The sequence below is a fragment of the Homo sapiens genome, chromosome 19 (assembly GCF_000001405.40).
Source record: "Homo sapiens chromosome 19, GRCh38.p14 Primary Assembly".
Lineage (NCBI taxonomy): Eukaryota > Metazoa > Chordata > Mammalia > Primates > Hominidae > Homo > Homo sapiens.
The window spans coordinates 56594820-56620544 of NC_000019.10; the positions used below are offsets into that span (position 1 = coordinate 56594820).

At 44.9% G+C, this 25725-nt stretch overlaps 1 protein-coding gene and 1 long non-coding RNA gene across 5 annotated transcripts in view, besides 2 other annotated features; both read left to right on the top strand.

Moving 5' to 3' along the window:
* Positions 445–834: a silencer, noted in NCBI's record as "silent region_11070". NCBI's record gives its function as "represses an Ori minimal core promoter by ATAC-STARR-seq in GM12878 lymphoblastoid cells {active_cell/tissue: GM12878}" and the evidence as "EXISTENCE:reporter gene assay evidence [ECO:0000049][PMID:35858748]".
* The window catches only part of ZNF71-SMIM17 (ZNF71-SMIM17 readthrough (NMD candidate)), a 61946-nt gene continuing 36703 nt past the window's right edge, over positions 483–25725 (top strand). The window contains exons 1-3 of one of the 2 annotated variants that reach the window (NR_163262.1): positions 483–609; positions 6688–6772; positions 18993–19119. This is a non-coding gene — a long non-coding RNA (ZNF71-SMIM17 readthrough (NMD candidate)). The remainder of the gene's footprint in view (positions 610–6687; positions 6773–18992; positions 19120–25725) is intronic. The other variant, NR_163263.1, reaches the window with a different exon arrangement.
* Positions 483–25725, top strand: part of ZNF71 (zinc finger protein 71) — a 29185-nt gene continuing 3942 nt past the window's right edge. Inside the window, exons 1-3 of one of the 3 annotated variants that reach the window (NM_001370215.1) lie at positions 483–609; positions 6688–6772; positions 18993–19119. In NM_001370215.1, coding sequence (NP_001357144.1) covers positions 6740–6772; positions 18993–19119 — 160 coding nt within the window. In that variant the 5' untranslated portion in view covers positions 483–609; positions 6688–6739. The remainder of the gene's footprint in view (positions 610–6687; positions 6773–18992; positions 19120–25725) is intronic. The other 2 variants (NM_021216.5, NM_001370214.1) reach the window with 2 other exon arrangements.
* Positions 22179–22397: a silencer, noted in NCBI's record as "fragment chr19:57128366-57128584 (GRCh37/hg19 assembly coordinates)". NCBI's record gives its function as "represses an EF-1alpha promoter that drives an FKBP-Casp9 reporter gene in an ReSE screen in K562 erythroleukemia cells {active_cell/tissue: K562}" and the evidence as "EXISTENCE:reporter gene assay evidence [ECO:0000049][PMID:32094911]".

The following is a 25725-nucleotide window of genomic DNA, read 5'->3' on the forward strand; positions in this document are numbered from 1 at the left end:
CTTCCCCTCCATCCTTCTTCCAACCCCTCCTCCTTCTCCATCTCTTCTTCTTCCTCCCCAGCTCTCCTCCCCAAGTCCCTCTCCATCCTCTCTCTTCTCCCCGCTCCTCCCCATCCCTCCTCCCCTTCCATCCTTCTTCCCACCTCTCCTACTTCTTTTCTCCCTCCTCCCCCCTTCCCTCCTGTCCCTCCTCCTCGCCCCTCCTTTCCCTCCGTCTTTCTTTCCACCCTTCCTCCCTCCGTCTCTTCTCTCTCCTTCCCTTTCCCTGCCTCCTCCCCCTCAATCCTCCCTCTCGCCCCAGCCTCCTTGGCCGCGGAGTCCTCTGTGAGATGGAGGAGCTCAGTTGGCTCCGCTCGGCTCCACTCGGCTGGGCTCGGCTGAAAAAAGCCGGGGGGAGGTGGCGCGCGCGGGTTTCTGGGAAGCGTAGTCCGGCGCAGTCCGCGCAGGCGCACTGCCGTCGGGCGGGCCTAGCGGGCGCGGTCATTGTCCTGGCAGAGCGGCGAGCCGGTGAGTGTGGCTGCGGGGTCGCGCCCACCCTCTACCTGTGCCGGGGGCCGGAACCTGGCCCCGGGGAGGGCGCGGCCTCGGGGAGACGGCGTGCAGGCCCAGGTACGGGGAGTGCAGGGCTGGGTGCTGGTCCAGGGCGTGCGGGCGCAGGAGAGGGCGTGCAGGCCGGGACCGAGGTGCGCCTGGAGAGGCTGAGCGGCCGAGGAGAGGCTGAGGGGAAGCTGAGGGGCTAAGGAGAGGCTGACTGGAGGCTGAGGGGCTGAGGAGAGGCCGGGGCCAGGGAGGGAGAGGCGTGAGTGGGTTGGAGGTAGGAAAGTTGCATGAACACGAGGGCCATCCTGGGGGGAAGGTGGCCTGTGTGAGAGACAGGCAGTGCATATCATCCTGAGGATGAGGCTGTGTCTTTGTGGATATTGTGAATGTGTCTGTGTGTGTGTCTGTGTGGGTCTGTATGTGTGTGTGAGACAGATTGTGTCGTCCTGAGGGTATGGCTGTGTCTCTGGATATTGTGATTGTGTGTGTGTGTTTGTGTGTGTGTGTGTGTGTGTGTGTGTGTGTGTGTATGAGACAGAGAGAGAAACTGCGTGTCGTCCAGAGGCTGGGTCTGTGAATGAATGTGAATGTGTCCATGTATGTCCGTGTGGGTCATGTGTGGTAGCGTGTGTGTGTGTGTGTCCCACTTCTTCAGAGTCTTGGTCTCTCTGTGGAGCTGTGTCTCTCCAGGTCTCTGCCTATGCATGTGTGGTGATATCTCTGAGTGACTGCCTGTGTCCTTGTCTTTGGTGTTGTGGGTGTGTCAGCCTTGATCTCTGTCCATGAGTGTCTCTGTGGGAGGGTGCCCTCTGGGTGTCCACTATGTCTGCTCTTTCCATGCATGTCTCTTGGCATGAGTGTAGGGCTGTGTCTTTCCAGGGGCCAGTCCTGTCTGGATCTTTCCTATCTCTGTGTGTCCACCTGTGTCTAGAGTATTTCTTGATGTTTGCGTGTGACTCTGCAGGGGTGGGTGCGTCTGGGTGTGCCTCTTCCAAAGACTATATGCCTGGACAAGGGAGCCTAGCAGAGCCACTACCTTCTCACCCTACGCTTCTCCTAGTCTGCCTGCCCACAGTTCCCTGGCTTTTTCCTGCCCATAGAAGGCTCTGGAGGCGTAGGGGCCTGGGAGTGACAGGGGCCGGGTGGAGGAGGGGAAAAGGAAGGCTGTTTCTTCTGCCTCCCACAGGATCTTCTTAAAGTGGGATCAGACTCCCAAAGGGTCTCTGTGCCCTACTCTGTTCTGACCAAGGAGAGGTTGATTTGTTCAGGGAATGTGTATGCAGCCAGTGCTGGCCATTTATAGATGTCCCAGTAACTCTGAGGTAGAGACCATCATCATCCTTATCTTACAGATGGGGAAACTGAGTCTCAGACTAAGTGACTCACCCAAGGCTACCTCAGGCATCCAGGTTCCAGAGCCCCCACAATTAACCACCAGACAAATGGGAGATCCCTTTTTTCCCTTTCCGCTCAGCTGACACAAGGTTGCAGGATTTTCCCCGAGGGAATCCCCGCTTGGAAACAATGGAAATGGAAGAAAGGAAGGAAATGCCAAAAAGCTCAGAGGAAGAAGAATCCAGATCTAAGGCCAAACTGGGTTCAACAGCCACTGGCCATACTCTTGGGCAAGTCACTTCCAGGGCCGCTGCATGATTTTTAAGGGTACTTTGCCTTCATGGGCCCCTTGCTCCATTGTTTTTTTAAAGCACTAAAAATTACATTTTGTTATTTCATTAATAGGAAGACAAATGTAATCTAGGCTGGATTAGATATTTTCTTATGATTTTAAAAGAAATTAAGACCTTCCTATGGGCCCCTAAAGGTTTCATGGGCCCCATGCTCTGTGCCTACTGGGTAAGTGGGCTCTGGTCACTGCTGTGATCTGGCAAAATGGGCCAGTGTTCTTGACCTCACAGGACAGGGGTGAAAGAGACCACTATCTGCAAGGAATTTTTTTTTATATTAAATTGTGTTTCAAAAATGTTGATGGTAATATGAAGTTTCTACACCCAGGGAAACAATTCAAAGGAAGAGAAAGAAAAAATAATTAATAACTTCTACCCCCTTCTCATTCCCACTCCATGCCCTCCAGACACCAACCCAGCCTCATTCCACAGCCTTCCCCAGGCTGGAAGATGCTGTACAGATGTGTCCACATCCACATGTTTTGGTTTGTTTTTTCACAAAGGGGCTAAAGGTATGCATAAAACTGGGTAACTTGCTTTTCTCACTTAGTGAAACCACAGACATGTCAACAGATGCAGAACTAACTCTGCTTCGCAGAGGCGACCTGATACTTCATACTATGGAGACCCTACCCTCGATTTGATTCCTTTAGTAATGTTTATTAATTTTGTTTTCAGGGTTTTTTTTTGCCTCTAGAAACAATGCTGCCATAAATATCTTTTTTTCCTATATGTAACTTTTACACGGAGCTTTTATTGGTGTGGGCAGATTCCCAGGAACAGGGTTGCTGGGTTATGGGATTTGTGTATTGCCAGCTCACTTTCCAGAAAAATGTTGAGCGACTCACATTCCCTCACCAGTGTGTGAGAGGGCCTGTTCCTTTCAATCCTGGCCAGCACTAGAAGTTAGCTCATCTGTTCATTCAGCTTGATGTCTAAGTGCCTCCTGTGTGTTAGACGTTGTCCTAGATGTCGGAAATACAATCTGAAAGTGATCATCCCTGCTCCCTGGGGGCTTCTGTTCTCATGGAGGGAAGACAGATGACAAACTTGAAAACAACTATTTTAAAAAAGACAGTTGTCAATAGTGGTTTGTACTGCAAGAAAATAGAGGGGGAGAGAGTTGCTGCTTGAGGTCAGGTGATTGGGGGTAGAGGACTTCTCCAAGGAGGTGACGTTGGAGCTGACCAGGAAGCAGGGGTAGTCATGGGAAGAGCATTCCCTCCAGAGGGAACAGCAGATGCAGAGGCCAGGAGGCCTGGGGCCAAGCATGGGAGAGGGGAGTAGAGGAGATGGAAGGGGAGAGGCCATCAGGGGCACATCATAAGGGCTATGTGGGCAGCAGTGAAGACTTTGAGTGATTTCTAATGGTGGGGGAAGCCAACGAAGAGTTTTGAAGAGTTTTAGCCCAGAGGACATTTTCACTGAGTGATTACAGTTGGCCAGGTGTGGTGCCCGGGTACAGGCATTAAGTGGTAGGAACCCCCAGCCCACACCTTTGTGATCCTTTTGTTCTACAACAGGGCTTCTCAACCTCCACACTACTGACCTTTGGGCCTGATCATTCTTTGTTGTGGGGCCTGTCGCGTGCATCGTACAGTGTGTAGCAGCATCCCCAGTCTCTACCAACTAAACGCCCATAGCACTCCCCTGCCAAATTATGACAGTTTGGCAAATGTCTCTAGACGTTGACAAATGTCTCCGGGGGCAGAATTGTTCCCGATTGAGTTCCAAAGGCTTCTGCCAACTTGGCCTTATATATATGCCCCCCTACAATTAAAATTACTTTTCACTTGTGGAAGTTGGGGCCATTTGGCCTAAGAAAGGCTCTTCTTTGTCTTAGTGGTTCTTACGCTTTAAGACGTGTCAGAATCACCTGGGAAACTTGCTTAGAAATACCGATTCAGGGGCCCTACCCAGGTAGTTTGATTCAGAGGATCTGAGGTGGGGGGCAGGAATATATATTCTGAGTGAGATTTTAATAAGCATCCCCAGTGATTCTGGTACTTTGAGAATTGGTGCACCAGCTACAAGAGCATTGTGTTGGAGAGGATTGAGGCTTTTCTGGGTGATCTTGAAGGGTTGGAGATGTAGAGAGGCATGTTTCTGTTTATAGCAGAAGAAAAACTCATTTCCAGTCAGAGGTGTTGGTGGCACGGGTAGTGAGCCCCCATCACGGGAGAAGCCAGGACTGAGCCAGCATGTCTCAGACTCCAAGAATTTGTCCTCATCTGTGTCATGGATCCTATTTTTTTACTTTGCCATTTACTTGATTTGGCTCACTGATTTTTTTTTTGTTTTTAATTTAAATCAACTTAGTTTAAAAGGGTATTCTGTGTGACTGCTGTAAAAGAAGCTGAGTTTTGCTGTAAGAAGGGAAACAAACTTTAAAACAAATTGAAGTAAAGCCAGGTAGTTCTAATGAGATATTATGGTCACCCTAACTTTGGGGCCTGAACCCTGCTTTTCTTTTTAATTTTAATTTTTAATTTTTCTGGGTGTGTAGTGGGTTTATATATTTATGGAGTACATGAGATATTTTGATACGGGCATACAATGTGTAATAATCACATCAGGATAAATGGGGTATCTGTCACCTCAAGGATTTATCCTTTGTGTTACAAACAATCTGATTACATTTTTAGTGTTTTGTTTTTTTTTTTTTTTGAGATGGAGTCTCGCTCTGTCACCCAGGCTGGAGTGCAGTGTTGCCATCTCAGCTCACTGCAAGCTCCGCCTCCTGGGTTCATGCCATTCTCCTTCCTCAGCCTCCCGAGTAGCTGGGATTACAGGCACCTGCCACCACACCCGGCTAATTTTTTGTATTTTTGGTAGAGACGGGGTTTCACCGTGGTCTTGATCTCCTGACCTCGTGATCCGCCCGCCTCGGCCTCCCAAAGTGCTGGGATTACAGGCATGAGCCACTGCGCCCGGCCAGTTATTTTTAAATGTATCATTAAATTATTATTGATCATAGTCACCCTGTTGTGCTGTCAAATAGTAGGTCTTATTCATTCTTTGTGTGTGTGTTTTTTTGTTTTTTTGGGGTTTGTTTTTTTTTTTTTTTTTTGAGATGGAGTCTCGCTCTGTTGCCAGGCTGGAGTGCAGTGGTGCAATCTTGGCTCACTGCAACCCTCTGTATTTTTTTTTTTTTTTTTTTTTTTGAGACGGAGTCTCGCTCTGTCGCCCAGGTCGGACTGCGGACTGCAGTGGCGCAATCTCGGCTCACTGCAAGCTCCGCTTCCCGGGTTCACGCCATTCTCCTGCCTCAGCCTCCCGAGTAGCTGGGACTACAGGCGCCCGCCACCGCGCCCGGCTAATTTTTTGTATTTTTAGTAGAGACGGGGTTTCACCTTGTTAGCCAGGATGGTCTCGATCTCCTGACCTCATGATCCACCCGCCTCGGCCTCCCAAAGTGCTGGGATTACAGGCGTGAGCCACCGCGCCCGGCCCTCTGTATTTTTTTAATACCAATTAGCCATCCCCACATTCCCCCCACCCTTCCACTACCCTTCCCAGCCTCAGGTTTCTTCATCATTCTAGTCTCTATCTCCATGAGTTTGTTTTAATTTTTAGCTCACACAAGTGAGAACTTGCAAAGTTTGTCTTTCTATGCCTGGCTTATTTCACTTAACATAATGACCTCCAGTTTTATCCATGTTGTTGCAAATCACAGGATCTTATTCTCCTGCTTTTCTTTTGTTTCAAGGGGCGAGTGATGGGTTGCAGGGATGTTAAGATATCTCTCCACTTGAGACTTTATCCTGAGCTTGTCAGGAGAACTGGAGGAGAATTGAATCAAGATGCATTTCTCTAGGCGAATCTGGCTCTGAGAGCCCCTGGGTGGAAGTTCCTTACACTCATATCTGCTAGTTGAACCTCATGGTAACCCCATGAAGTCTGGGGGAAGTGCCCAAAGAGGCCACAGGTGGTTCTGGGGCATCTCAGGGGGCCTCAGTCCAGCACTCACACTCAAGGAGGGATCCGGGCAGGGCCATTGGGAGAAGGCAGGGTGTCCGGTGGCCCTCAGCAGCCTGCGGGAATGTGTGTGAGTGTATGTGTGTTAACCATATCTATAGGAGTGTACATGGGAGTGCATCTGTGAGGCATTGTAGCCTGGAGGCTAAGCTGTGGACCCAGACATACTCTGCCTGACTCCAGTCCCAGCTCTGTAATCTTGAGCAAGTGGTTTAATCTCCTCGGGCCTCAGCCTCCTCATCTGTGAAATGGGTAGGTAGAAGTAGTACCTACCTTCCAGGATGGTTGGAAGATCAAGTGATATACATTCAAGTTCCCTACATGCAGTAAGCCCTCTAAATACTCACTGTTGATGTATGTGTATGTGTGTCTATCTGTCTGTCTCTGCTTGTCTCTCAGTGGGTGTGTGTCTGTCCTGTCTACATTTGTGAGGCCAGCCTAGGCCTGGTCTCTCAGCATGCCTCCCTCTTTCTTCTCCCTACAGCACTGTTGGTCACCGCAGGCCTGTCTTCCTATTCACCGTGGGCAGCAGAGGGATGGCTGCTCAGCTGCTGACTGATGAGGCACTGGTGAGTCATGTTGCCCTGTCACTCTCCTTTCCAAAGGCTGGATCCTGCCTTGGGTGAGCCTCTGCTGCTCGAACCCTCTCCAAGGCCCCCAGTCCCATCTTCTGGGGCTGTGTCTGCCCTGATGAAGAGGGCTGTGCTTATAGATGATGCTGACCCTGGCTGTGGGGTCAGTTGTAGGGGACAGGGAAGCTTTGGAATGGCCAAACTAGCTCTCTGGACTCTTAGGAGACACAGGTGGGCACCTGTGGGAAGTGGTGGTTTAGACATGTGACATTGAGTGAAAACTTGCGCAGGACCATGCTGGATGTGTGACCTTTAAAATGGGCAAACACACTAAATGCTTCTTGTGAATGTGAATGCCCACATGTGTGATGAAAGTACAAAAGCTTATGGGAATGAGGCCCACAAATTCACCCATGATTTTACCCCAAAAGATAATCACTCTGGAATGTTTGAGTCTGGCTAAGCAATTTTAATGTTAAAGATTGCTTTTTCATCAGAGATTTCATCCTGAGCATTTCTCCACATCATTAAAAACTCCTTTGTAACGTCCATCTTAATGACCCCATAAAAGTGTTGTTCAGTGGCCATACCCTGGTTTACTTAATGGTTCCTCTGTTGTTGGACCTTTATTGGTTTCCAAGTATTCTTTTTTTGGTTATAAACAGTGTCATGAGGGACACTGGGCACAAATCTTTCTTTGTGTCTTATATGATTTCTTTAGGAGTGATTCCTTGAAGAGGAAGATTGGGTTGGGTATTTTTGAGGTATTTTGATATTATTTCCACATCAGTTACGGCGGTATGTATTCCCACCAGCATGTCTGAGCGGGTCTCTGATGATTTATATGGCTGTTGTCAGGCATTTATTCTGCATGTTGGATATATTTAGATTGGTGCAATATTGCACCATGATAATAAATGATAAATGGATATAAATGACAAATGCTATAAACCATGATGAGCCTGATAGGGGACAAATGGTGCCACGTGATTTATTTCTGAGTAGCATTGTTTGTATTATTAGTGAAGTTCAAGTCTTAGAAAATGTTTACTAGCCATTTCTGTGGGCAGGGAAATGATCCATCTTGTGCTTTAGCAGTCTACAGGAATCTGAGTATGCTTTAAAGACTTTACAGAAGCAAATGTGTGTGTGTAAATATTTGTGGCAAATATTCTTCCCAGATTTGCTTTTTGTTTCTTTATTTTACTTTATTTTTTCTGTATAAAAGCATTTCATATTTTTAAAATCAAATCTGTTGGTTTCTCCCACTGTGGTGTCTTTCTTCATCTTTAAGCTGTGAAAGGGTTTCTCCATCCACAGGTCACATAGCAGCTATATTTTCTTCCTTTTCACCATTTGTCATTTGAATGTTAACAATGAACTTTTGAATCTACCTGTAATTGATTTTGCTATATAAATGTGTCAGTAGACTTATTTGGGAGCTTTGGTTTATTCTGTCTTCATTTGTTTGGTACCTTTGTTGAGGTACACATCACGTATCACAAAGTGTACAATTCACTGATTTTGGGTACATTCATAGAGTCGCGTTAACCATCACCACAGTCCATTTCAGAATATTTTCATCATCCTGAAAAAGAGCCGAGTACCCATTGGCACTCATTTCCATTTTCCCCCATCAGTCCACGGCCCCTGGCAACCAGTAATCAGCTTTCTGTCTCTATGAATTTGACTGTTCTGGACATTTCAAATAAATGGAATCATACATGGTGTGGTCTTTTGTGACTGGCTTCTTTCACTCAGCATAATATTTGCAAGGTTCAACCATGTGGTAGCACATATAGAGCTTCATTCCTTTTTTTGACTGAATAATATTCCAGTGTGTGTTTCTACATATTTTATTTATCCTTTCATCAGTTGATGGACATTTGGGTTGTTTCCACTTTTTGGCTATTATGAATAATGCTGCTATGAATATTCATGTATAAGTCTTTGAACATATGTTCTCAGTTCTCTTAGGTGTGTACCTGGAAGTGGAATGTTGGGTCATATGGTTAACTCTGTTGAACCAGTAAAGGAACCACCAGACTGTTTTCCTAAGCGATTGCACCATGATGCCTTCATTTTTGTCTCATCTGTGATTCTTGCCTTGAATTCTTCTTTTACCTACATTACTTAGAAAGATTTGTTGATTGTTTTTATTTCAACAGGGTTGGGAGTTTTGGTTTAAGTTTTTTTTTTTTTTAATTACTACTAGTGTAATTACATTCAATTTTTAAAAAAAATTGAGCCTGTCTGGTTTCAGCGTTTTCCCTGTGGTGAAATGGTTTGTGTCATTAGACAGGAAACCGAAAAAGATGGAGTACTAGAAAAAGGGGCCTTGGACACGTACGTGCAGAGAACTCAGAGGCCCTTTGTTAGCACTTCTGTCCCAACACGATGGGCTCCCAGACCTGGAAGGCTGTGTTCTGTGTCTCAGCACAACCCTGGTGCCAGTCTGGGCTTGGTGCCTGGAGACTGCTCAGTGAATAGTTGAGTGAATTAGGTGGGTGTACTTAGGGAAGACTTCCAGAAGGAATTGTTGTATTACAATTTTGTAAAATAAATAAATATAGGTGTGAGAGGGAACTTTTGGAGGTAATGGATCCGTTTATGGCCTTGATGGTGGTGATGGTTCCACGGGTGTATATGCATCTGCAAACTCATCAAGTTATGTATATTATTAAATATGCACAGCTTTTTATATATCAGTCACACCTCAATCAAGTAGTTTAAATTTTTAGAAAAGGAGGAATTATTAGCTGGGCTGGCTGAAAGATACATTGGGCCAAAAGGTCAAATAATATCATATAAGGATCTACAGTTGTACATAAGATATATATTAAATATCAACATTAAATAATAGCAAGAGTCGACATTTACTGAGAGCTTCCTCCATCACACGAGGCACTGTGTTTGGACCATATTTGTACACATTTAACCTTACGACCCTGTGGAGGGGGACATTGTTATCAGGAAGCCTGCCTCTCATATGAGGCTTAGAAAGAGAAAGACAGTTGTCCAAGGAAACACAGCTCATGAGGGGCAGAGCCAGGATTCCGTTGCAGAGTGTGGTTCCTGAGCCTACACTCTGAACCACCAGCCCAACTGCTTTCTATCAAAGGTGACCCCTCAGGCAGAGGAGGCTATCTTGAGCCCAAGCCCCAGAAGGGCACCCTAGGACCATAGAGGGACTAGCCAGCGGGGGTGAGGCCTCCCCTTGGGATTCAGTTGGTGGTGGGGACACTCAGTATGCTGGAGAGAGCCAGTGAGCTCTGAGTGTCAGTAACAATAGCTGGCACTTATTGAGTGCCTGCTGTATGCTATGCATTACCATTCTGAGTGTCTTACATAAATAAGTGGGCAGGTGGGGCCTGTAGCAAATTGGAGCTTTCTTGCCCCATCAAAGGGTCAGCCACCACTCAGCTCCAGCCTAGAGTGGCCAGATATTCTGCTGTTTAAAGAGAAACTAGAAATTCATTTTCTTGGTAAATTGTGGATGTGTTTTTCATGTGAGTAACAATTAAAAACAATTTTGAAACCCCCATAGGAGCAAAATAGAAATGTGTACAGCTGGCTTCAGGCCCAGGTACATCTCATATGCTCTGTGTGCTCAGAACTCCCGTTCTTTCCTTGTGCCTTGGGGGTTGTACCACTGAATCAGTTCAGAACAGCAGGTCCCTCTGTAGGACACAATAGGTCTCTCATTACTCACATGCCATGCTGTGAGGAAGCCCAAGCAGCCACAAGGAAAAGTGATGTGGAGAAAAAGAGATGCCCACCAAGGCCTCAGCTGTGCCATCCATACCAGCTCAAGAGACAGACTTGTAAACAAAGAAGCTAGCAGACTACTCTAGCCCAGCTGCCATCCAACTGCCACCACACAAGAGATGCCAGGCACGAACTGCCCAGCTGAGCCCATCAACCCCAAAATAGTAATAAATTGTTGTTTTTGAGCCATTAAGTTCTGAGATGGCTGCTACCCAGCAAAATATAACTGGATCAGAAATTTAATCTGTGGCCATGGCTCAAGATCTTCATGTGGCAGAGTCATGCATGGATGATGTGATCAGCCAGCAATAATGTGAGACGTGCAGGCCTTCATCACACTAGGGAGGAGGTCGACTGTCAAGCACCATCTCTGGAAGTGGCTTCAGGATCGCTTGTGATCTGTCTGGAAGAGAAGCGCCAGCTGGGACACTCTGTGATATTTATCCAACTGTCTTCTTTATAGGCAAAAGACGTGCCATCCATCTCAGGGTCTGATCCAAACTAAACTGCTCCTTGGCTGTGATGCCAGCTAGATTGGTATTATACATGGATGAGGCCATCTAATGTTGGGGCTGAGAGTTGAACTGACTAGGTTTAAAATGCTGCCACTCCCATCTGTGTGACCTCTTGTGCCTCAGTCTCCCCCTTTGTAAAAGAAATGAGCTCATAAAAGTGCCTACATAGTAGGGTTCTTTTGAAGATTAAGTGAGATGGTGTGTGCAGTGGGCTTAGAACAATACCTGGCATGTAGTATGTGCTTAATGAACATTAGTTATTTTTATCATTATTTACTAATGAATTAGTATGGAAGAAACCTGGTGCCAATACCATGTCTGTCTTATTCACAGTTGTATGCCCAGTGCCTGGTGCATGGCAGGCACTTAATAAATATTCGTCAAATGAATACATGAAAGGGTGAAGTATCACTCTGTGTGTTTCCAGGAACCATCAATGAACATATTTAGAATATGTTAGAATATGTATTAGATACCATTGATCTAGAATTCCTGTTTAGGGGGTAAAAATTCAACCATACTTTTCTGGTAGCCCGGAAAATTATAAATTAATCAGTTAAATTTCCGATCCAGTTATATTTTGCTGGGTAGTAACCATCTCAGAACTTAATGGCTCAAAAACTACAATTTATTACTATTTTGGGGTTGATGGGCTCAGCTGGGCAGTTCGTGCCTGGCATCTCTTGTGTGGTGGCTGTTGGATGGCAGCTGGGCTAGAGTAGTCTGCTGGCTTCTTTGCTCACATGTCTGTCTCTTGCTGTGGTATGGATGGCACCGCTGAGGCCTTGGTGGGCATCTTTTTTTTTTCCACATGGATTTTCCTTGTGGCTGCTTGGGCTTCCTCACAGCATGGCATGTGAGTAATGAGACATAATGAGACACCTGTTGTGATGACTGGCTTCTCCCAGAGCAAGTGTTCCAGGAGGCTGAGGCAGGAGCTGGAAGTCTTCTGTGATCTAGCCTGAGAGTCCCAGAACATTACCTCTGCCAGATTCTATTGGTCAAGCAGGTCCCTAAGGCCAGCCCACATTCAAGGATGGGGGAACTAGACTCCACTAGTGAAGGATTTGAGGCCATTTTCAACAAGTCTACCCACTTACTATTGTCTACCAAAGCTGACTTATATTGAAAGAGACAGTGAAAATGGGTAATTTGATCCAGCAAAATATAACTGTATCAGAAATTTAACTGGTGTTTTAATTTACAATTTTCTGGGCTACCAGAAAAGCATGGTTGAATTTTTACCCCCTAAACAGGAATTCTAGATCAATGGTATCTAATACGTATTCTGATATATTCTAAATATGTTCATTGATGGTTCTTGGAAAGGTACCTGCATTTTCCTTGCTTGGGCAGCAGGACTGGGCATTTCTGATTCACAGCCCTGAGTATGATAATTGAGAGTATGAGAGTTGTATGCTCATTTTGGGCAAATACTCAAAGCAGGTAGCTTTTTATGTGTCTTCCTATCACATACGATTGCTTTCTTGGGCCTGTTCAAGGTACCATGTAAGAAATTTAAGGATTCAGTCATTTGTTGTACAAACATTTATTGAGTACCTACTAAGTGCCAGGCGCTGTTCTAGGGTCTGAGGATTCTGTGGTGGCCCAGGCAGACACAACTTCACAACCCCCCATGACGTAGATGCTGTTATCCCCTTTTAACAGAGGAAGAAACTGAAGCCTGCAGAGGTTAGGTAATTGAAGATGTTCACTTTCATACATTCACATAGCTAGAAAATGGCCAAGCCAGGGTTTGATAACAGGTCTTTGTACTTCCCAGACATGCCCTTAAGACACTGCACTGTCTTTCAAAAAACAAACAAACAAACAAAAACACTCACCCCCCTGTATTACTTGTGGCTGTGTAACAAGTTACCCCCAAACTCAGTTGCTTAAAGCAACAATTATTTACTATTTTACACAGTTTCTGAGGGTCAGGAATGGGGCAGTGGCATGGCTGTGGCTCAAGATCTTCAGTCTTCTCAGGGCTTCCCAGGCTGCAGAATCCCTTCTGAGAGCCTCACACAGTGGTTGGTGGTGGGATGCCTTAACTCCTTACTGACATTGGTGGGAGGCTTCAGCTGCTGGTCAGATGGGCCTCTCCAAAGGACTCTGCAGGGCAGCTGGCTTCCTCCAAAGTGAGTAATCCAAGGGAAAAAGAGGGAGTGTGCCCAGGACCAAAGCTATGATCTTTATAACCTTTTTGTCTTTTTTTTTCCCCCTAAATTTCTTATTGTGCTAAAATACACATAACATAAAATTTGCCATCTTAACCATTTTTAAGTGTGCAGTTGAGTGGCATTAAATGCATTCCTAATGTGCAGCGCCACCACCATCCATCTCCAGAACTCTTTGATCTTGTAAAACTGAAACTCTGCAGCCATTAAACAAACACTTTCCATCCCCCTCCCCTCCGCCCCTGGCAGCTGCCATTCCACAAGTCTCTATAAATTTGACTTGATACTTCATTTAAATCATGGAATCGTGCAGTAGTTTTACTTCTGTGTCTGGCTTATTTCGCTGAGCATAATGTCCCCAAGGTTCACCCTTGTAGCATGTGTCAGAATTTTTTTTTTTTAAAGGCGGAATAATATCCCATTGTATGCATAGACTGCATTTTGCTTATCCACTCGTGCTTACGTACACTTGGGTTGCTTCCACCTTTTGGCGATTGTGAATAGTGAGTGTGCATATAACCTTTCCTTGGAAGTGACACCACACTAACCTCTGCTGTATGTTGTTGATCACACAGAATCACCCTGGCACAGTGAAGGGGCTACATAAGGCTGTGGATACCAGGAACTGGGGATCATTCGGGGCTGTCTTGGAGGCTGCCAACACACACACACACACATACACATAAAACATGAAAATATTCACAGTGTCACTCCTCTGATACAGCTGCTGTTCACATTTTGACACATTTCCTTCCATCTTTTTCCTGTGTATTGTTTTCATGTGGTTGAGATAAAATGGTTATTTAGAATTCTGGAAACCCAGAAGCAACTCTACATGGAAAAGCTCTGCATAATCTTGTAATGAAAATAGCTATGTAATTGGCCATGGGGGTAGGCTATTATTTAATGAATCCCATGACATGGATGTTATGGTTGTCCAAAGACTTGCCCATATAAATAAAATGGAGTGGACATCTTTGTGCATGAAGCTTTGCCCAATTTTTGGATTATCTTGTTGGGATAGATTTCCAGAAGTAAAATGTCTGAACATTTTAAACACATAAAATGTGTAATATTAACCTTTTAATTGAAGAAACAATAGGTAAAACGCACCTATTTGAAAATTAGTAAACTGGGAAAATGAATTCTCCCACTTCCCCTCCCCATCCTGAAACTACTGGCATCACCTGCTCTTACCAGATTCTATTTTGGTTAAGAGCTTTATTGAGGTATAATTCACGTATCGTAAAATCCATCCATATAAAGTAGACACATTAATATCCAGTGCTTTTTAGTTTATTTACAGTTATGCAACCATCACCACAATATTTTAGAAAATTTTTACCACTCCAAAAAGAAACCCCATACCCATTGGCAGTCACTCCCCATTTCTCTCCAACCCACCCTCACCCCTAGGCAACCACACATCTACCTTCATTCTATTTTGCCTATTCCGGACATTGTATATAAATGAGGCATACGATATGGATTTTGCCTGTCCCGGACATTGTGTATAAATGAGGCATACGATACAGATTTTGCCTGTTCCGGACATTGTCCATAAATGAGGCATACGATATGGATTTTGCCTGTTCTGGACATTGTACATAAATGAGCCATACGATATGGATTTTGCCTGTTCTGGACATTGTACATAAATGAGGCATACGATATGGATTTTGCCTGTCCCGGACGTTGCATATAAATGAGGCATACGATATGGATTTTGCCTGTTCCGGACATTGTACATAAATGAGGCATACGGTATGGATTTTGCCTGTTCTGGACATTGTACATAAATGAGGCATACGATATGGATTTTGCCTATTCCGGACATTGTGTACAAATGAGGCATACGATATGGTCTTCTGTGTCCGGCATCTTTCACTTGGTGTCATGTTTTCCAGGTTCCTTCATGTTGCAGCGTGTGTCAGAGCTGTCGTGTGGACGAACCACATTGTTTATCCATTCGTCAGGAGATGGACATTTGAGTCGTTTCCACTTTGGGACTATTGCGAGTAACATTGCTATGAGCATCAGTGTATAGTTTTTGTGTGGCACTCTGTTTTCATTTTTCTTAGATATCTACCAAGAATGGAAGTGCTAGGTCATAAGGTAACTCTGTGTTTATTCACTTGAGGAAATGCCAGACTGTCTTCCAAAGCAGCTGAACCATTTTACATCCCCACCAGCTGTGCATTCTTACCAGTTTCTTGCATTCACTTCCATAAAGAGGTCTGCGCCTGTATAAGCACATATGTGTAAATTTCCCTTTATTATTTCCTCTTATGGAAATGTTAACAAACTAGACACACTGTTCTGGGCATTGATCTGTTTTTTCATGTAACAGTATATTCGGGAGATCATTCTGCACCTGCAGCTAAGGGGCTGCCCCCTTTTTTTTTGTTATGGCTGTGTGTATTCCACTGTGGTGGATTCACTGACCTGATTTATCCAAACCCCTACTGATGGCCATTTGGGATGTGTTCAGTCTTTTTACTTCTTCATCTGATACTGTAATAAATATCCTTACACATCTATGTTTTTGCATGTGTATTAATATATCTGAATTAGTCTAAAGTGTTCAAAAGAATTTGAATATTAGTTTTGATAGATTTTGCTAAATGCCACTCCATAGACATTGTCCCAGTCTGTTCTCCTATCAGGAGTGTCAGAGAGGAATGTTTCAGTATTTGAGTTGGAGAGAGTATTTCCTTTAGAGAGGAATGTTGTTGCAGTATTTGTCCTTTTGTGACTGGCATATTTCATGGAGCAGAATGTCCTCAAGGTTCACCCATGTTGTAGCATGTGTCAGAATTTCTTTCCTTATTAAGTCTGAATGAGATTTCATTGTATATAGAGACCACATTTTCTTCTTCTTTTTGTCTGTTAGTGTACACTTGTTGCTTCCACCTTTTGTCTATTGTGAATAGTGCTGTTAGGAACATGGGTGTGCAAATACAGAGTGCACCTGTAAAATTCTAAATTAGATTCTGTCCCTCTCCTGCTCAGACCTTCCAAAGAATGAATAAGAAGGAGCCAGCTTAGGCCAGACCTGAAGGAAGAGCATTTTGGGCAGAAGAAACGGCTAGTGCAAGTTCCCTGGGGGATATTCGAGGAGAGAAGGCAGGCTGGCAGGGCTGGAGCAGAGCACAAGGGGCAGAGCAGTTGTGGGGACAGTGTGGGGGTCAGAGGTCAGAGTCAGGACTACATGTATGGGCACCACAAGTTTTCATTACCTGCCGCTCTGGGTGGTTCGTGAGAGGCAGCAGCCTGCAAGGATGAGGACTCGGGCTCTGGAGACAGCCCATGAGGTTCAAAGCCTGGCTGTCCCACGCAGTAGCTGTGTGCTTTGGTCCAGGAACCTACCCTGTCTGTGCCTTGGTTTCTTTTATCTCTACCTTCCAGCCTCCCTCCAGTGCCCCCTATTGACAGAGCTTCACAGGGAGTAGCTGCTAAGGCAGAAACATCACGGGATCGCAGAGTCAAAGCCCGCAGATCTCTGTGCAGAGTGTGGAAGGGGGGCTTTTGGGGATGAAAGACAATCACTTAATCACTTTTAAACAGGCATACTATATTATAATGTTAGCACCTGACTCGTAGGTCTGTTTTAAGTTAATAATGACTGAATCAATATGTGCCAGCACGGTATCTATTTCTCAAGGCTGCTGTAAATAAGTACCACAGACTGTGCAGCTTAAACAAAGGACATTTATTCTGTCACAGTTCTGGAGGCTGGAAGTCCCTGATCAAAGTATCCACAGGACCACGCTCCCTCTGAAGGCTCAAGGGAAGGCTCTGTTCCAGGCCTGTCTCCCACCTGCTGGCAAGTTCCCTGACTTGTGGCAGCATAACTCCATTCTTCACACAGCCTTGTCCCTGTGTACATGTCTCTCTCTGTCCATGTTTTTCCTTTCTGAAATGCAAATTAAAACCACAACACCACCTTACCCCAGCCAGGATGGCCATTATTAAAAAGTCAAAAAACAATAGATTGGCGTGGATGTGGTGAAAAGGGAATGCTTATACACTGCTGCTGGGAATATAAATTAGTACAACTTCTTTGGAAAACAGTATTGAGGTTTCTCAAAGAACTAAAAGTAGATCTCCCATTTGATCCAGCAATCTCACTACTTGGTGTCAACGCAAAGGAAAATAAGTATTTATATCAAAAAGACACCTGCACGTGTATGTTTATTGCAGCACGATTCACAATTGCAAATATATGCAGTCAACCTAAGTGCCCATCAACCAATGAATAAGGAAAGTGCCCATCAACCCATAGATAAAGAAAATGTGATACACACACATATAATATATATGTATATCACATTTATACACATACACACATACATACACACACATACCATGGAATACTACTCAGCCATAAAAAATAATGAAATAATGTCTTTTACAGCAACTTAGATGGAACTAGAGGCCATTATCATAAGTTAAGTAACTCAGGAATGGAAAACCAAATGCTGTGTGTTCTCACTTATGAGTGGGAGCTAAGCGATGGATATACAGAGGCATACTGAGTGTTATAATAGACTTTGGAAACTCAGAAGCGGGCAAGGTGGCAGGGGGGTGAGGGGTGAAAAACTACATATTGGGTACAATGTACACTATTCAGGTGATGGGTGCACTAAAATCCCAGACTTTACCACTGTACATTTCATCCCTGTAACCAAAAATTACCTGTACCCCTAAAGCTATTGAGATTTTAAAAATTGAAAAACAAATTTCCCTTTTCTATAAGGACACCAGTCCTGTTGGATTAGGGCCCCCTACCCCCACTCCAGGATGACCTCATTTTAACTGATTTCATCTGCAGCAGCCCTGTTTCCAAATAAGGTCATGTTCTTGAGACCTTGAAGGTTGGGACATCAGCATATGAATTGGAGGGGCTCATAATTCAACCCATACCAACCACTTAGAGTAGTACCTGGCACATAGCAGCTGCTGCATAATGACTGGTGTTGCCTACCTCATCATCACCATCCACACTGCTCCGCCAGGTTCTTTCAGTCCACAGGCTTGTGACATCTACCACAAAGTGCTGCTCCTTCCACGTGGACTTCTCTCCACTCCCCAGCAGTCTCATCTGCCTTTTCACCTTCGGGTCTTGATCCAAGCTCTCTTCCCTACCCAGAATCTCCCACTAAAGACCCAACCACCAGTTCTCTTCACAGACTACTCAAAGTCTTCCTGGGCACCCCCCACAGCTGGCATTACTCAGGCACCTGGAGACCTTTGTTCATACCTTCATGATTGATTGCGTTTACCAAATTACGTGTCTTTGTCTGCCTCTGCCATGAGGAACTAGTTCTTGAACATTTTGTGTCTGTATCCCAGCACTGGGCTTGCTGCCTGGTGCTTAGTAGGGGCTCAGAAAAGTTAGCTGTGCCCCTGGATTCCATCTGGGGCTCTGCCTCTGCTGTGCTCCTAATGCATTTGTTGATTCACTGGGTTAGACTCACTTTGCCTTCAGTTCCTTTCCATCTGGTTCTCAGATCTGTGACCTTCTGTTCCAGAATGTTTCATATGGGATTTATTTCTCTATCAGAGTGCCAACCCAATATAACTAGACACAGAGAAAACTGTGAGTGATCCCTTTAGAACTCTGCATCTTATTGAAATCACTTCAGCTACATCCCATCTGCCTCCCCTAAATCCTCTTGGCTTTTCTGGCCATTCCTCCACGCCTCTGTAAGGAGGGCCCTGCGATGAGCGGATGTGGGTTTCCTCTTACAGGAATCAGTGACGTTCAGGGATGTGACTGTGGACTTCACCCAGGAGGAGTGGCAGCAGCTGGAGCCTGCCCAGAAGGACCTGTACAGGGATGTCATGCTGGAGAACTACAGGAACCTGGTCTCACTGGGTAAGGGGCAGCTTCGTTGAGTTACTCATCATTGGCCCATAACTTCAGGACCACAAATAAATTAAAAAAAAAAAAAGATCAACAGATCTGACTACATGGAAAGTTTTAAAATTTGCTCTACTTGAAGCTAAAAATAAAGTTGATCACGATGGTATGGGAAATAATATTTCTCACGTGTTTTACATTCAAAGGGTCATAATTATGTAAGCAGCTCCTGGGAATAAGAAAAAGACTAAGCGAATAATAGAATGGACCAAACTTATGAGCTGGTGATTCATAGATTTAGAAATACACAAAGTTAACACTTTATAAAAGTTTTTTAAACCTTACTACTGGAGACACACAAATTGAGGTACTAGCAGTTTTTGCCCATGAAGTGCACAAAGATGAAAAAAGAATAATAGCCCATATTATGAGGCTGTAGAGGAAAGGACTCTCATTTTAGGAGTATAAAGTTGGGACAGCTCTTTTGGAGGATAGCTTGGCCTTATCAGTCAAATATTGAAGGATTCCATTTTTAGAGATCTGTCCTTTAGAAATTCTCATGTAAGTATGCAAAGTTTTCCATGGGAAGAAAAATCAAGGAAAACGACCTAAATGCCCAGCTGTCTAAGACTGACTGAACGTATCAAGGCCTATCGATATGTTGGAAACCAGGCAGCTCTTCAAAGCTGAGGACTGTTTGTAGGCACTGCCATGAAAAGATGTCCCACAACATACTGTTAGGTTAAAACACTCACTTTTGTAATCAGAGCGTGGTCCTATTTCTTTAACAGCTTTTCTGGAGGTATTATTGACCTGTAATTAACCACGCATATATAAAGTGAAGAGTTTGATGCATTTTGACATAGTGCATACCCAGGAAACCATCACCATGATCAAGATAAAGGACATATCTATCATCCCCAAGAGATTCCTCATCCTCCTTTATTACCCCTCTCTCCCCTTCCTCAACCCCCATCCCCAGGGATCCCCTGGTCTGCTTTATGTCACTGTGGTTGAGTTTACCTGCTCTCCAGTTTTATATACATGGAATCATACAGTATGTACCCTTTTTTTTTTGGTCTGGCTTTTTTTGGTTTGACTTGGCATTATTTTGAGATTCACCCATGTCATTGCATGTCTCATAGTTCATTTATTTTTATCTCTGTGTATTATTCCACTGTATGTGTATGCCACAATTTGTTCAGCCATTCGCCTGGTGATCAACATTTGGGTCATTTCCAGTTCTGGGCTATTACAAATAAAGCTGCTGTGAACATTTGTGAACAGTTCTTTGTGTAGACATTTGCTTTTCCTTCTGTTGAGTGGAAAGTCTGGATCATGTGCTACATGTATATTTAACTTGTTTAAGAAACTGCCAACCTGTTTTCCAAAGTGATTGTACTATTTCACATTTCCACCAGCAGCGCACAAGCTTCATTCTAATTGCTTTATCTTTTAAATTTAGCCTCCCTTGTAGGTGTGTGGTCTCATCACTGTGCTTTTCATTTGATACTGACACTTGTAGGTGTGTGGTCTCATCACTGCGCTTTTCATTTGATACTGATAATCTTTTCCTGCGCTTATTTGATGTTTGTATATTCTCTTTGGTAAAGTATCTGTTCAAGTCTTTTCCTGTTTTTTTTTTTTTTTCTGTTGGGTTATTATTGAATTTTGAAAGTTCACTATGTATTCTTTAACTATCTAGAAGTCCAATGCGCTATCCATTGCGTCACAGAGCCAGACCACTATGTATTCTTGATACAAGATTTTCTTTAGATATATGCCGTGCAAATATTACCTCCCATTCTGTGGATTGTGTTTTCACTTTCTTGATGGCATTATTTCTGACTCTAAAGTTTTTAATTTTGATGTAGTGCGATGTATCTATTTTTTGTTGTTCTCGTTGCCTGTATTTTTGGTGGTATATCTAAACAATCTAACTCAAAGCCATGAAGATTTATTCCTGTGTTTTATTCTAAGGTTTTAGTGGTTTAGCTCTTCACTGAGGTCTTTGATCCATTTTGAATTAATTTTTGTGAGTGATGTAAGAACGGGGCTCAACATCATTCCTTTGCATGTGAATATCCAGGTGCCCCAGTGCAATTTGTTGAAGAGCAGAAGTTTTTAATTCAATGAAGTCCAGTTTATCAATTTTTTTTGGTTTTGGTGTCATTTGTAAGAAATCTTGGCCTATCCCAAGGCCTCAGAGGTTTTCTTCTGTAAGTTATATAGTTTTAGGTTTTACATTTTGTTCTTTGATCCATTTAGAGTTGAATTCTTAATATGATGTAAAGTATTAATCCAAGTTTATTGGGGTATGTTGGGGGGACAAATGTATGTCCAGTTGTCCAACACCATTTGTTGAAAAGACCACTTTCTCCAATCGCCTTTGCATTTTTATCAAAAATCACTTGTCCATACAAGTGTGGGTCCAATTCTGAATCCTGTTCTGTCCATCTGTTTGTGTGCCTTTGCACCAATACCAAGCAATGTCATCCTTTCAGATCTTGCTTTTATGACTTGTGCCCAGTCTAGAATGACATTCTCCTCAAGATCATTCTGGGTTTTCTGCCCAAAGCCCCATGAATGACAAGGTTTTACAGTCTGATTGGTAGGAAAAGGCACTGTTCCCAGCCCTGTGTCAGCTCCGGTCACTGTTTTCAAATCCTTTCAGATGTTTTTTTCCTGTGTTGGGTAGTTTCCTGACATGCACGTTTTGACCAATAGTCTGCTAAATACTGGAGGGAGTTCCTTGCAGGTCTTCAGAACACTGTGCAGCTCATTCCTCTCTCATCTGTCCTGGGAACTCTATCTGCCTTGGTCTCTCAGCTCTGTCTCCTCAACTTGGGGAGTTGGCCAGACTGTACCTCAATTTACCTTTCCTTTGTCAGAGCCTGGAAACTTCCCAGGCAGTTAGCTGGGGCAGTTGTAGGACCCACCTTGTTTGATTTTCTTCTCTCAGGGATTTTGCCCTTCATTGCCTGATATTCAATGTCTTCACAACCATTGTTTTATATATTTTGTTTTAGGCTCAAGGGAATCTTATCCTTTATACTCTGTCTTGGACAAAAGCCCCATTTGGGGGAAAAATGTGTGTGTGCATGTACAGGCGTTGGAGGGGAGTCTAAAATATAAACCAAACTGTTAACTCTGGTGAGTAAGATTACAGGAGACTTCCATTTTCTTTTGTTTTTTTTTGTTTTTTTTGAGACAGTCTTGCTCTGTTGCCCAAGCTGGAGTGCAGTGGCATGATCAGAGCTCACTGCAACCTCCGCCTCCCTGGTTAAAGCGATTCTCCTGCCTCAGCCTCCTAAGTAGCTAGGATTACAGGTGCCTGCCACCACACCCAGCTAATTCTTGTATTTTTAGTAGACATAGGGTTTCACCATGTTGGCCAGGCTGGTCTCAAACTCCTGACCAAGTGATCTGCCTGATTCAGCCTCCCAATATGCTGAGATTACAGAGACTTCCATTTTCTCCATTACTGTTTTGGTGTTTGATGTTTTAAAAACAAGTGTGAATTACTTTCTAATCAGAAACAAGCATAGAAAGACAGAAAACTGAAAAAGTGTGAAGGACGAGATTTAGCAATGTGAAAAAAGAATGCACCTACATTTGTATCAAAAGGAATGAATAGCGTTTTGCACATTAACGGCTTTTGGCGAAAGTGCCCTCTGCAGAAGCTTCGGATGTCTCCCATGACAGTGGCCATGCCGTCAGACTTCCTGCTCTTTTGCTGACCTGACTAGAGAAAAGGTGTGATCGGGTAGTTTTAATCTGGGTGGTGTGGAACTGTGTTTTCACAGCTGTCGTGGTTAAGGGCTGAGTGTTTGCTGTTTGCAGATGATCTCTACTGCAGGGTTTTAGCCTGAGAAAGGGAGGTGGCTTCCTCCCCTCTGTCCCTCTGCTGGTATGCTGCCCCCAGCTCTCCTGATTTCTCCAGGTCATGTTCACTCCAGGAGACTTCCAGCTGTATTCACAACCAAGACTCCTGGTCCTCTCCGATAGCTGCCAGCTCATATTCCAGAGCATCTCAGACTCCATCAGCCCCAGACAAAATTCACCATCACCCCTGGAGACAGTCTTCTCTCCACCGAGTCTACACCCCACACTACCATCTGTGCCAGCATCTGGGCATTGTGCCACACCCTGACTAGGGTCTCTAAACCACAATCATTCTCCTGCATGAAGTATTTCTCAGTTCTTTTCCTCTGAGATGGGAAAAGTGATGCATGGTAATATAGCCACTCCTCAGGAGCCACAGCTCGGGGGCCACACTGCCAGGGCTTGAATCCTGCTGTGCCTCAGGTGTATTGTGCCCTCGAGTACATCTCTGACTCCATTCTTGTATCTCCGTTTCCTCATCAGCAAAATGAGGATGGTCATAACTATCTACTACTGTATGTAACTCAAGTATGATTGTGAGGGTCTCCAGAGATCCGTGCAAATTGTTCAGCACTGTGCCAGGCGTGTTGCCAGTGCTCCATACTCGCTTATCTGGTACCTTCTGTGTGCAGGCTGTGTGAGGAGCTGGGGGGTGAGCAAGGCCCTTGCCTCTAGTGGAGCTGACTCCTGCTGGGGGCCGATAATAATCAGATCAAGGGACAGGCAGAGAAAAATTGCCACAGGTCACTGAGTGTTCATAAAGAAGTGGGCAGGAGGACCTTCCTTCCTTACGTAGGGTGGATTGGGAAGGCTCCCGTGGGGTTGTGGGGAAACAGGCCTGAAGGATAAGGACGTCCACGGCAGGTCCACAGGACAGTGGATGCAGAGGCCCTGAGGCAGGAAGAACACACGGACAAGAGGGAGAGCATGGTGATGAGAAACTGGGAGGGAGGGTGGGCAGGGGACGACTCAGGCAGGCCTGCTGGGTGCTGAGGGCCCTGAGGCTGCTGGAGGTCCTGGCATCATTCTCAGTACCGTAGGGAGGTCACGGGAGGGTTGATCTGACTCCTCAGAAGACCGCACTCCCGGAGGAGTGGAGGACGCATTGCAGGGGTGAGAATGGGGTGGGGAGGACAGAGAGGAGCTGCTGTCGCATTTCAGGCAAGGACCCGTGGTGGCCAGCCGGCTTTTTGTCAGTGGGGACCGGGAGATTTGGTCTGATTCAGGCTGTTTGCGCACAGCAATGCTTGCCAGCAGTCAGGACGGTGGGAGGGAAAGGGCAAGTCAGGATGTCTGCTAAGTCTCTCTAAAACAATTTTTTAAATTTTATATTTAAAACTGTGAAAAATATATAGAGAACATAAAATGTACCATTTTAACCACTTATAGGAGTACAGTTCAGTGGCCTTAAGGACATTGATGTTGTTGTGCAGCCATCACCGCCATCCATCCCCACAGCTCTTTTCATCTCCCGCAAATGAAACCCTATCCCCATTAAACACCAACTCCCACCCACTCCTCAGCCCCCGGCATCCTCTGTTCTACCGTCTGTCTCTGGGAATCCGACCTCCAGGTACCGCAGATGAGTGGAATCACATGGCATCCATCCTTTCATGTCTGATTTATTTTACTAAGTCTCTTTGATGGGCTTTGCTTTTTTAAAAAATGTTTTTCATGGGGAAAGTCTGAAATCCCAAGTTTCGTATCGGATGTGTTAGGCTTGGGCTATCCAGTTGAGATGCTGGGCTTTTTTGAACAGTTTGGACATAGCCCAGAAAGCAGGTCTGGGCTGAAGGTGTATGTTTGAGCAGCATCAGCCTGTGGATAACGTTTAGATCCAGACTCACTTTGTGTGGCTTTGAAGGTCCAGTGTGATTCAGGAGAGTGGTCTCAAACTCAGGTGGCCTCAGGAACTACCAGGTGGATCATTTATGTGGAGGAGGGGGACAGCTGCTGCCCCATGCAATGTCTTGTTGCCCATAAGAATGAGGCTCCACGTGGCCATATCTTCATGTTTTTTATGAGCTAGCAGCCACATGGACAGCAACTTTTAAATGCTGGGAATGAGTCCCCTGATGCAGAGTCTAGACTCCACCTAGGCTAGAAATCGAGGTTTAGAAATGAACAGGATACACGTGGAAGGTGATTGAAGCTGTGGGCACAGAGGTATTTAGCCAGGGAGGGTGGATGAGCAGAGAAAGAGGGTCTGAACCCAAGCTCCACGGAATGCCTGCCACCCAAGAACTAGGCAGCGTGTGACGTAGCAACAGAAGCAATTGTGAGACCCCAAGTCATGTGATTATTGTGGGCTCAAGTGAGCGGTCCTGTGTGTATGAACACTTAGTGCTGAGGCTGATGAGAGGGCTGGGGTGCGGGAGGGCTGGGGCCAGCCAGGGCAGGTGCGTGATGAGCTAGCGGGAGCCGGAGCCCCAGCCAGGGGAGAGGATCTTGCAGCCAGCAACCCTGGGGCAGCCATACCAGAGAAGTGGCAAAGGGGCAGGAGAAATGCCCGATTTTTCTCTCATTTCACTTCCAGTTTCCTGCCTTTGGCCAAACACACAGGAAGCCAGTGGGCAAAGTCAGCATCCTGAGCACAGGGCAGGTCAGAGAAGGGTGGAGAATAGAAAGTGGGTCGAAGGAGTAGAGAATAACCAACACATGCCATATAAATGCTAGCTATTTATTATTTCTTTATTCTTTTTCTTCTTTTTTCAATATTTATTTATTTATTTATTT